This window comes from Homo sapiens, chromosome 3 (genome assembly GCF_000001405.40).
Source record: "Homo sapiens chromosome 3, GRCh38.p14 Primary Assembly".
In the NCBI taxonomy this organism is placed as follows: Eukaryota; Metazoa; Chordata; class Mammalia; order Primates; family Hominidae; genus Homo; species Homo sapiens.
The window spans coordinates 43,743,772-43,755,960 of NC_000003.12; the positions used below are offsets into that span (position 1 = coordinate 43,743,772).

At 46.7% G+C, this 12,189-nt stretch overlaps 1 annotated feature.

The window, feature by feature from the left end:
- Positions 9,474 to 10,673: an enhancer, noted in NCBI's record as "P300/CBP strongly-dependent group 1 enhancer chr3:43794737-43795936 (GRCh37/hg19 assembly coordinates)". NCBI's record gives its function as "activates an origin of replication core promoter dependent on BRD2, BRD4, P300/CBP, MED14 and CDK7 cofactors, with strong dependence on P300/CBP, by STARR-seq in HCT116 cells {active_cell/tissue: HCT116}" and the evidence as "EXISTENCE:reporter gene assay evidence [ECO:0000049][PMID:35650434]".

Genomic DNA, 12,189 nt, shown 5'->3' on the forward strand with positions numbered 1-12,189 from the left:
AGAAAATTATTTTAGTGATGAGAGGAAAAGGAGACAGGAATGGACAATTAGCCTATGTAGAAATGTGTGTGTGTGTGTGTGTGTGAGAGAGAGAGAGAGACAGAGAAAGAGAGAGAATTAGTGTGATTCATTTATGAATACATATCAGAAAACAATACTTTCTCCATTTTTCTATTCTTTTAAAAATATTTTAAACACAGAAAAATTTAGAGAATTGTAGAATTATATAACCCATTCCTAGAGTTAATAAATGTTAGCATTCTGTCATATTCAGTTTATTTTTTAGGAAATAAACATTACAGAAACATTTGAATTCCCTGCTTCACCCCCACGCCTCCCCCCACAACCAGTTGGTTCTCTCCTCCCCTGCCTCCTGCCATATCACACCTCCTTTGTTGGTTCACTGCGTTTGAACTTATGAGAGAAAAAGCTGTCAGAGCTCCTTGCATTTGTGCATGCAGCACAGCAGGGCCTTCAGAGCTGCCCTCCCAACACGGCCTGTCCAAGCAGACTCAGCCTGGCCAGGTAGGTCCCTCATTCGCTAAGGCTAGCGAGATCCCCTGACTATGGCCCTCCAAAGGCACCTCCACTCACCCAGGGGTCCTGGGAACTCTCCCTGCTCCGCCCCATAGGCTGGGTAGCCTGGAAGAGTCTTGCCACTGGGCAGTCTCTTCTTTGGTACCAGAGGTCTTGGCTGTGAGCCATAGTCCCTTCTGGCTTGAGATTAGTATGGTAGGTGGCATCTCCTGGACCCCTCCACCCCTGCAGCCTGTTATTCTAATCTTCCCCCCACCCTTTTTTTTTTTTTTTTTGTCTTTCACAGCCAACTCTGAGAAGTGGTTTTCCACATTTCTTCCTTTGGGAATTGAAAGCGTTGGGGAAGCACAGGCATGAGGAACAGTGAAGAGCAGGAGCTCTTACAGTCTGTCTGCTGGGGGGTTTAATTCACTATCTCCTGCCAGGCTCATTTGTCCATGCATCAAATACTTAATGAGCCTCCACTCTACGGGAAGCACTGCTGTGGGCTTGGGTGATACCATGTTGAGCAGACACAGACTCAGTTCCTGTCTGTATTAGTTTTCCTTTGCTTCTGTAACAAATTACTACAAACTTGAGGCTTACAAAAACACAAATTTGTTGTATTATAGTTCTAGAGGCCAGACGTCTAAAATCAAGGTGCCAGCAAGGCTGGTTCCTTCTGGAGGCTTCAGAGAATGATTTGTTTCTTGGCCCCTTCCAGCTTCTGGAGGCTGCCTGCATCCCTTGGCTTGTGGCCCCTTCCTTCATTTTCAATGTGCCTCACTCCAACCTCTGGTTCTGTCATGTCTCTTTTTTCTAATGTCTGACTCTCTTGTGTGCCACCTATAAGGCCCCTTATGATTACAGTGGGCCTACTGAGATAATCCAGGAAAATTTCCACATCTTAAGATCCTTCACTTAATCCCACCCGCAAAGTCCCTTTTGCGTGGAAGGTAACATATTCACTAGTTGTGGGGATTTGGACCTGGACACTTTTGGGGGTGCATTATTCTGCCTATGACACCATCCCCACAGCAGTTTTCACTTATGTGATTAGTTGTTAAACAAGTCACTGCAAATGCAAGGAGGAGAGGCAGCAGCTTGGCAGGGAGCTCAGAGGCTGCCCCCAGGAAATGACTTGCTCAGGACCTGGAGACTGAGGAAGATGTGACAGACACAGAGGGAAGAGAGGGGTAATTCACACAGTGGGCACAGCAGGCGGCAGGATAGGGAAGACAGGTGGCAGGACAGGACGAGGTGAGGACAGGGACTCTCTGACATTTGTGGGTTGGTAGGAAAGACAGGAGGAAAGAGGAGCCTGAAATGAGGCAATGGAAAGGCAGAGGCCAGAGAGCCTAGATTAGGTAATTTGGTTCAGGATTCTTTTCTTAATGTCAATTGGAGAGTGTAATCAGGGATCACAGACTGGCTTGTTTTTTGAAAGTTTCCTCTGGCTGCATTGTGTTAAGAAGACCCTGGTGAAGGGATTCTGACCGTGGCCAAAATGACAACGTAACTTCCCCCCAAAGATGTCCAGGCCTGAATCTCTGGAGCCTGTGCCTGTTATGTTACATGGCAAGGGGGAATTCAGATAGCAGAAGGAGTTAAGGTTTCTAACCAGCTGACCTTAAATGGGATAGTACCCTGGATAATCTAGGTGGGCCAGTGTAATCACAAGGGGCCTTAAATGTGGAAGAGAAAGGCAGGAGAGTCAATGTCACATTGATGTGATGTGAGAAAGACCTGACAGGTTACTGCTGGCTTTGAAGATGGAGGGGCCCATAAGCCAAGGAGTATAGGCAGTCTCTAGAACAGCGGTCCCCATCCTTTTTGGCACCAGGGATCAGTTTTGGGGAAGACAATTTTTCCATGGATGGTGTGGGGAGGGGAATGGTTTTGGAATGATTCAAGAATATCATATTTATTGTACACTTTATTTCTATAATTATTACATTATAATATATAATGAAGTAATTATACAAGTCACCATAATGTAGAATCAATGGGAACCCTGAGCTTGTTTTCCTTCAACTAGATGGTCAGCTAGATGGTCCCATCTGGGGGTGATGGGAGTGACAGATCATCAGGCATTAGATTCTTATAAGGAGTACCCAACCTAGATCCCTTACATGCATTCACAGTTCACAGTAGGGTTCATGCTCCTATGAGAATCTAATGCCCCACTAATCTGAAAGGAAGTGGAGCTCAGGCAGTAATGCAAGTGATGGGGAGTGGCTGTAAACACAGTTGAAGCTTCTCTTGGTTGCCTGCTGCTCACCTCCTGCTGTGCAGCCTGGTCCTAATAGGCCACGGACCAGTACCTGTCTGTGGTCCCGGGATTGGGGACCCCTGCTCTAGAAGCTGGAAAAGGTAAGGAAACAGATTCTCTCCTTGAGCCTCCAGAAAGGAACACAGCCCTGTGGATGCTTTGATTTTAGTCCCATGAGATCCGTTGTGGACTTCTTAACTCCAGCACTATAAGATGATGGATTCATGTTGCTGTGTTCATTTGTTACAGCAGCAGTAAGAAACTTATCCAGCTTGGAAGTTCAGGGGGCTATTGGGGATTTAAATTGGGAGCAAGGAACAGAGGTAGGGAGACTTGGTCAATTGCTCTTTTAGAGATCTTGCCCCTGGGATGTGGGGAGCAGGACAGATGCTTTGAAAAAGGGGGCTCTGACCGGGCGCCTGTAATCCCAGCACTTTGGGAGGCCAAGGCGGGCAGATCACGAGGTCAGGAGTTTGAGACAAGCCTGGCTAACATAGCGAAACCCCGTCTCTATTAAAAATACAAAAAAAATTAGTCAGGCACGGTGGCGGGAGCCTGTAGTCCCAGCTACTCGGGAGGCTGAGGAAGGAGAATGGCGTGAACCCGGGAGATGGAGCTTGCAGTGAGCCGAGATTATGCCACTGCAGTCCGGCCTGGGTGAAAGAGCGAGACTCTGTCTCAAAAAAAAAAAAAAAAAAAAAAGAAAAAAGAAAAAGGGGGCTCTGCCAAACAGCCCTAGGTGAGGGAGGAGCTGGGCCCTGGGGAGCTGAGAGAAATGAGGGTAAAGAATGTGCGTTTGTAGAGAATAAAGAATAAGAAGGTCTTGGCCACCTCATGGAGGGTGGGGACGAGAGGCAGGAGAGGAGGAGAAAGGCACGCACCGTATCCAGGGCCCGCTATGTCCTCAGTTCATAGAGTCTTTATGTCTCATTTCACAGACAAGGAAATAGAGGCTTAGAAGCAGAAATCAAGTGACAAGCTCAGGCCACAGGGCTGAACAACGATGATGTGAATATTCAAGCTCCTGTTGGTTTGGAGAGGCAGATACGGTCCTGCCAAGAGCATCAGCTCCACAGGTAGTGTCAAAACATTATGGGTTTGTGTGGTGGACACAGAGCTGCACTGCCCAGCTCCCCTTCAGGAAGGCACAGTGGCCAGCTGCGGGCGTGCAGTCAGCTGCTGGTTGTAAGCTCTTTCCTGTGTACCTTGCCCAAGGTTACACCCCCAGGGAGTCTGTATCCAACCCCTTAGGAGCCAGGGTGTGAGAGTCTGGCCACTTGGACCAAATGTGGATACTGCCAGGCGAGCCTGCTCCAGGCCCTTGGCTGACCATGGCTGTGTGGGGCCTGAGTCACAGATTGGCGTCTTCCTCAGCTCATCCTGCCCCGCCAGGATTGACCCCTATTAAACTCAGCCTCTGCTTCGAGGAACCTAACCTGCAAGAGTAGCAGAGCAAGTCTTTGGATAGATAAGACAGTCTTTGGAGAGAAGGAGGCCTCAGTGGAGGGCTGAGGGGGCTATGCTTTGCATTCTAGGTAATGTTTTCTCCAAGCTGCTTTTATTTTTGGTACAGAAAAATGAGACAGGGTCCTCCCCATGTTTAAAGCTTCTTTTGGTTTTCATTTTCTCTGCTTTGGAGTTGAGATGTGGGTGATTGCATGTGTCTGGCTGAGTGAGAAGCAGTGCTCCTGAGCCTGATGGCCAGGAATTCCTGGGAACTTGGTGTCCTTCTCCTCTGGCTGAGCCACGCCCAGGTTCATCTTCAAATCTGGCTGGCTGTGCATCTCACCTCCCTCACTCTCCAGCCCCCAACTGCCTGCATGTCATACTGAAAGCAGCAGAGGGCTGGCAGAGGATACCACGTGGCTGCCTGATTCATTTCCAAGAGGGAAACCGACATTATCCATTCAAAGGGCAGAGGGAGCCATTGTTTACAGGAGCCTTTCCTCCTCCATCCTGGCTTCACCTTCTGGGAAAAGTGGGGACGCTCCACCTGCGCAGCAGCTTGTGGTAGGGTGGAGGGGGCTTGGGAGCCACAGTGGACCCCCCACAAGCCCTCTACCAAGGACCACGTGACAACAGGGATATGCACATTAACCCAAATTATTTGTCTACTTCAATCCCTGAACACTTTGTGTATCAGAAATTCTCTTAAAGATAAAGTGAGGTCTTTTTATTAACAGAGGTCAGAATGCAGGAGAGAAGAGGGATGGGGAGCCAGTCAGAGAAAGGAGCGCAGGCCTTCTCTACTCAGCCCAACCTGCAGGCTCCTCAGTGATCCCGGTTATACCGCCTGTATATGCGTATGCAGTCTTGTGCTAGGAAGTGGCTGAAGCCTCTGTTCTGTAGTCTCTGCTGATTTCTGTGTTGTAAACATTTCCCCCACAGCTGATATCAGGCTATCCAGGAGACGTCACTGAGCACAGAGTAAGGAGGAGCTGGGCAGTAGCCCCCATCAGGGAGGATTCCACCATCAAGACACAATAGATACCAGACCCTTAAGAGCATAGAAGACAGTAAGACGCAGTAAAATAATTAAGAAGTGATGAGTTTGGGTATTTATTACCTTTGTTTTTAATATAATTTATTTAATTGTAAGTTTATGAAATTTAATTTTACAATGGCTGTGTTTAACCACTGGTTCACAACGTTTCTGATCATTTAATAAGTGACTTTCACGGGCCAGTGATGAGCCTACGGCACTGCACTCCAGCCACTCAGCAACTCCATGTCCCCTCATATCTATCATCCTAAATGCCACAAGGGGTGAGTCTGTGGGCTCAGCTACAGTGTGGCTTCCCTTACCTCCACCCTCTGCTCCCAGCCTACCCTCTCTCTCGCAGTGTCTCCGAGGGAACTGCAGATGAACTTTACTTCCTGGAGGGAGTGAGCATAATGTAGTGGAAAGGGTTTTTCAAGTCTGCCATTCACTTAGAATGACGTTGGGTGAGTTACTTAACTAGTCTGAGCCTTGGTCTCTCAATCTCTAAAATGGGGTAATAGGAGTTACTTCATAGGGTTACTATGCTTTTGATAGGGATTGTTAACTATATCCCAATATCTATGCCTCCCCCACCCCCCCCCCACCATTTACAGAGCAGTAGAATTTTTAGCTGAACAAATACTGTGTGGATTGAAGACTGTGCTTCCCAGCCTCTATGGCAGCTAGAGAAAGAAGTTCTTTTTTTTTTTTTTTTTTTTTTTTTGAGATGGGGTCTCATTCTTTCACCCAGGCTGGAGTGCAATCGTATGATCTTGGCTCAATGTACCTTCCACCTCCTGGGCTCAAGAGACTCCCCCACCTCAGCCTCCCAAGTAGCTGGGACCACAGGCATGCACCACCATGCCTGGCTAATTAGATAAATAAATAAATTCTGCTTATTGGGATAAAAGTGGAAGTGATGTGTGCAATACCCAGGCCATACCCTTGAAAGGTAAGAACATGCTTCCCTTTCCAGTGTTCTCTCTTTCTGCTGGCTGGAATGCTGATGTGATTCTAGGAGTAGAAGCTGCTATCTGGGCCGGGCACGGTGGTTCATGCCTGTAATCCCAGCACTTTGGGAGGCCAGGGCAGGAGGATCACTTGAGGTCATGAGTTTGAGAACAGCCTGGCCAACATGGTGAAACCTTGTCTCTACTAAAAATACAAAAATTAGCCAGGCATGGTGGTGAGCACCGCTAGTCCCGGCTACTCAGGAGGCTGAGGCAGGAGAATTGCTCGAATCCAGGAGGCGGAGGCTGCAGTAAGCCGAGATCGTGCCACTGCACTCCAGCCTGGGTGACAGAGGGAGACTCCGTCTCAAAAAAAAAAAAACAACAACAACAAAAGAGAAGTTGCCATCTGGACCATGAGGGAGAAGCCTCATGCTGAGTGGCAGAGGAACCAGGTACTAGGAGCCTTGGTCTGATAATCATGCGGTTACCTTACCAGCCCTGGTCTACCTACTCAGCTTTTTATAAGTGGCAGAAATGGTATTAAGCCTTCATAATTTTGAGTTTTTTTTTTCATTTTTGTATTGTAGTGAAATATGCATAACACAGAATTTACCATTTTAAGCAATTTTTAAGCATGCAATTCAGTAGAACTAAGTACATTTACAATGTTGTGTGACCATCATCATGATCTGTTTCCAGAATAGGTTTTTCCCATCTCAAACAGAAACTCTGTATCCATTAAATAACAACTCCATATTTTACCCTCTTCCAGCCCCAGATAATCCCTATCTTACTTTCTGTCTCTATGAATTTGACTATTCTAGGTACATACAAGTGGAATCATACAATTTTTGTCTTTTGTGACTGGCTTCTTTCATTTAGCGTGATGCCTTCATGGTTCACCCATGTTGTAGCATGTGTCAGAATCACTTTCCTTTTTAAGGCTGAATAATATTCCATTGTATGAATGTATCACATTTGCTTATCCATTCATTGGTCAATGGACACTTGGGTTGTTTCCACATTTTTGGCTACTGTGAATAATGCTGCTATGAGCATTGGTGTACAAGTGATTTTGAGTCTTTTTGTTAAAGCAGTGGAAACAATATACTAACTAACACTGGTCTTAAATAATGCACACAGTGTTGTTGCAGTGCCTGGCATATATTTCCTCTCTTTGCTCTTTTTTTCTTTTTTTTCTGGAGAGTAAATCAAGGGATGTGGTAAAGAAAAGTTTGGGATGAAACCAGTGGCTGGCTCAGACCAGCTCACAAAAGCCAATGGTTACATTTTCAGTAAATTTGAGAGCTGGGTGTTAAACTCATGTTGACTTGAAATTGGCCATGGTGGGGGTATTTACACTATGGTAATTGGCAAACAATATAAATCGGGGTTTTTTTTGGTTTCTGAGAGAGCTGGTTGTTAAACATTATGAGCACCTCCCTGGAGAAAAACCTTCTTTTGCTGGAGGCCCACAAGACTTTGTTATAATTCCATCTTAGGTGGAGGAGGCTGTGAAAATTTTGTTAATTATGTTGTTTATGGGTGAGCATTGTTGTATGTGAGGTTTATGAAGTAGACATTTATTTGTGCATGTATGTATGTATCCTTTCTGAAAATTACCTAAGGTCATGGCAGAGAGGAGACTAGCTAGACATGTTTGCTGTGTGTTGAGGGCTAGGAGAGTGCTTCATGTTGAGATGGCTGCTGATAAGTGGAGCCTCCATCAGCCTGGGGACCCCTGAATGATAAGAATTCACAGAAGCCCCAGCTGCCCTGTGGTGGACGGGTAGCACGAACAAGAAACGCGCCTTTGTTATTTTAAGCCAGTGAGGTGTTGAAGTTGTTTGTTCTGCATCATAATCTAGTTTATCCTGACAGATACATCCCCCAAGTGGAGATGTCTGGTAGGTAGCTGCATATATAAAAAGAGTGTACTAGACTCCATGTAAACGGCATTTAAATCCATGGGATTAGTTGAGCTCTATAAATGGAAAAGAAAAGCGGTCCAAAGACAGAGCTCCGGGGGTTCATCTATGTGTAAATGTTAGAGGGATGAGGAGGAACCAGAGAAAGAGTGAGAAGGGGTAATTGGCTAGTGGGAGGGGGAAGGCCAAGAATGTGGGGTGCTGGAAGCCAAGTGAAGAAAGGATCAGACAGGAGGAAGGAGAAATTTACAGAATGGTTGGGAGTGTAAGTTAAGGCCTGAGAGTCATCTTGGCACCAGCAAAGGGGAGGTTTCTGGGGACTTGCGAGGGGCCAGGGTACAGGCTGACTGCCATTAACTTACTGATACTCTCAACCATTCAGTACATTTACAAAAGATTGGAAGGAGGAGAGCTAGAGAGAGGGCACATAAGCCTTCCTAGGACTCTGATGCAAAGGAATGACAGAGGAGGCAACACCTGGAGAAGGACGTGGGGGCAACAGAGGGCTTGGGGAGAATTGCTGGAGCTGTTGAGCGAGAGGGAATACGGGACCTAGGGCAAAGGAGTTTCCCATAGCTGGCAAGGTCCATCTCCAGGAACAGGAGTGAGGGGAGAACGGAGACACAGAGCTCAGAGGATGGGGGAAAGCAGGTGGGCGCCTGTGCAATGCCTCCTCCATGTAATGGGAAGCTCGTCACCAGAGGGAGGCTGTGAGGCTCTGAGGGAAGAGAGAGGCAGCAAAGGCAGAAAGCCCCTGGACAGGGTGGGGCCTGTGATAGGCAGACCTCTGGGGGGCTGCTGCCCCTGCTCCCACTCCCCATGTGGGCAGCTGTCCAGCTGCTTTCTGCCCCACCAGCCTCAGGGAAAGAAGATCTCAGAAGGCAGAAAGGCAAGGGTAAAGGGTAAGGCTGGCCTGGAAATCCTTCCCTGCTGGCTATCTGCCGCCAGGTAGAAGTAGGCCGCCAGGTAGAAGTAGCCCACCTGTCCACCAGCCAGTCAGCGAGCAGACCTCCATCTTCTTTATTAAACACCTTCTAAGCTCCTGACACTGAGTGGTTGCTGGGTATATTAAAGTACTGTCTTTCCTACTAGACTCACTGCTGTGTCATGTGACTGGAGCTCAGTTGGCAATGAGACTCTGAAGGAGGAGCAAGTCTTTCTGCCTAAGAGGTGAAGGCAGAACTTTGTAGGAGTTGGCATTAACAAGTCAGCAGTTTTTTTTTTTTCTTTGTTTTGAGACAGAGTCTTGCTTTGTCACCCAGGCTGGAGTGCAGTGGTGCGATCACGGCTCACTGCCATCTCTGCCTCCCAGGTTCAAGTGATTCTTGTGCCTCAGCCTCCTGAGTAGCTGAGATTACAGATGTGTGCCACCATACTTGGCTAATTTTTTGTATTTTTAGTAGAGATGGGGTTTCACCATGTTGGACAGGCTGGTCTTGAACTCCTGGCCTCAAGCAATCCACCCACCTCAGCCTCCCAAAGTTCTGGGTTACAGGCGTGAGCCACCGTGCCCTGCACAAATCAGCAGTTTTTCGTTTTGTTTTGTTTTTCTCGGAAGAAGACCAGAAGGGCATTCCTGCAGAGAGAATAACATCGGCCAAGGCACCCAGGTGTGAAGGTTTCAGCCTGCTGGCCTTACCTGCTGTAGAAGAGGCTCCCAGTGCAAATAAGTCTTTGTAGCTGTCAGGAGAAGGTTTCTATGGAGAAGAATATTATTCAGGAAGCCTAAGGGGGCTTGATGGACAAGGACACAGGGAAGTGTCCCAGGGTGAGAGGGAGACCAGAAAATGGACCCTTTGGTTATGGTAGGCCCATGTTCACTGAACTGAATTGTTCAAAATCCAACTCTAATGTCTGTGATGGGGACCCTGCAGGGGCACCCTCCTTTAAGTCAGTAGTCAGAAGCTGAGCTTAGTCACTAAATTGGCAGTGTCACCTCTGGAAGGGACAGCTGTAGTATTTAAGTCACATGTGAGCCATCACATTCCTGAGTTATTCAATCACAAGAAAATTGATATCTCAAATCTGCAGAGGAGAGGAAATGAGCTAATATTTCTTGGGGGCTCTTTGAAATAGCAGATAACATACTAAGTACTTTGGCATTTTCTCCCTTAAGCCAACACCTTCGCTTCTTGTACATGTTGTATCTATTAAGAAATAGGGGCTCAAAGATGTGCTGCACAACTGACACAGAGCCAAGGTGGCCAACTAACAAACCTGTGCTCATTCCCAAATGGCATGAACCCAAACATCTGTGGAGGCCAAGCGAACATCAGCTCAGGTGTGATGATAAAGGGCAACTGAGCCTCCCCTTAATTAGAGGGAGTGACAGGGGGACTGTGTGCCTCATGGGAGTATAAGCCCAATCTTTCTGTACCTTTTAGCTTTTCCAAAGAAGCCAGAAATCTGGATTTTGAATGAAGTTTCCCATGTCTGAAGTATAATTACTTAAAACACTGTGCTGCCCAAACAAGACACATTGATGGGTTAGCCCCCAGCTGTGAGTTGCCATATTCCAAGTGTCCTAGTTGGGATTGCATTTAGCTGTGTGTGACACATTCCTGCTAGGGTAGTGCAAGCACAAAGGAATTTGTCTTCTCCCATAACGAGAGGTCTCAGGAGGTAGTACAGGGCTGACGTGAGCTCTGCAATGCTGCTGTCATTGTCCCAGCTGTGTTCATCTTTCTGCTCCATTCTCTTGAGTGGGAACAGCAAACAAAATACAGTTAGCCATCTGTGTCCATGGGCTCCGTATCTACAAATTCAACCAGGATGAAAAATATTTGGAAAAAAATAATGCAAATAAAAAACCAATGGAGTGTAACAACTCTTCAAATAGTATTTACATTGTATTAGGTACTACTATAAGTAATTTAGAGATGATTTAAAGTACAGGGGAGGATGTATATAAGGTATCTGCAAATACTACTCTGTTTTCTATCAGGGGCTTGAGGAGAAATCTGCAGATTTTAGTTTTCAAGGAGGTTCTGGAACCAATCTCCTGCAGATATCGAGAGAGGACTGTACTCAGCGTGTGTAAGCAAGGCAAGATCAGGGATCTGTCTGGTTGAAGTTTGCTTGCATTGCTCTTGGTGCAGACCTCCACCAGTGAAGTAAATCTGTAGAGGTACCTGCTGTGGGAAGAAGCCATTGTCCCCTCTGAGGGGTGCTTTCTTCTGAGTTGGCATGAGCAAAGAGGAACTTAGAACCTGGCTTTAGCTCTGCAAGTGAAAATTTCCTCCAAGTAAAATAAGAAAGAGTCTACATTCTTCTCTTACTGAAGCCAATCTAGAATGTCCTCTTCCCTCCCCTGATCTCTAGCTCATCTCACCCAGGTGCAACTTTCACATTCTTTCCATAAAAATTCTCTGGATTGATAAAAAATCAATCTACCTGAGCTGGATGAGAGATGAAACCATCCCTTGATATAAAGATGGTTTGAAGTAGAAGGAAAACCTCCCTGTGCAGGGGTGAGGCTGGGTTGGAAGAGAGTTGGAGGCTAGGGAAGTGTTGAGTGAAGGTCCTTCCTGGGACTCATGGACTTCAGCATTTCCAGGGAGACAAGGTGAGTGGAGTTTCAGGCATACCCTAGAGTGTGTTCTTTTCTACCTGCAATATTCATGAACAAGAACACTATTTTATTTTTCCTGTTCTAGGGAAAATTCTCCCAAATGGTGAGATAGGGAGAAAAGCCCTCCTCCTCCCTCTGGCCTCCACCCAGGCTCAGGTTTTTTGTTTCAGCTGCAAGGGCTGTGGCTGGTATCTTTTCCCCTTCTCTCGGTGAGTGGGAGGAGCTGCAGAATATGTTAATTCACACACATCAAAGATACACAAAGACCCAAATGACTGCAGAAAAGAGAACAACAGGATGCACAGAGCCTTAGCCTAATCAGTTAACTTACATTCTTTGCATAGAGGTTTGGAAGAAAAAATAATTACCAGGCTAAGGAAAGCCTTCCTAGCTTCCAAAATTCCAATGACTTTCTCCACCAGGATTATGCTGGGATGTGGCAGAGGGCACACCAGAGTCTGTAGGGC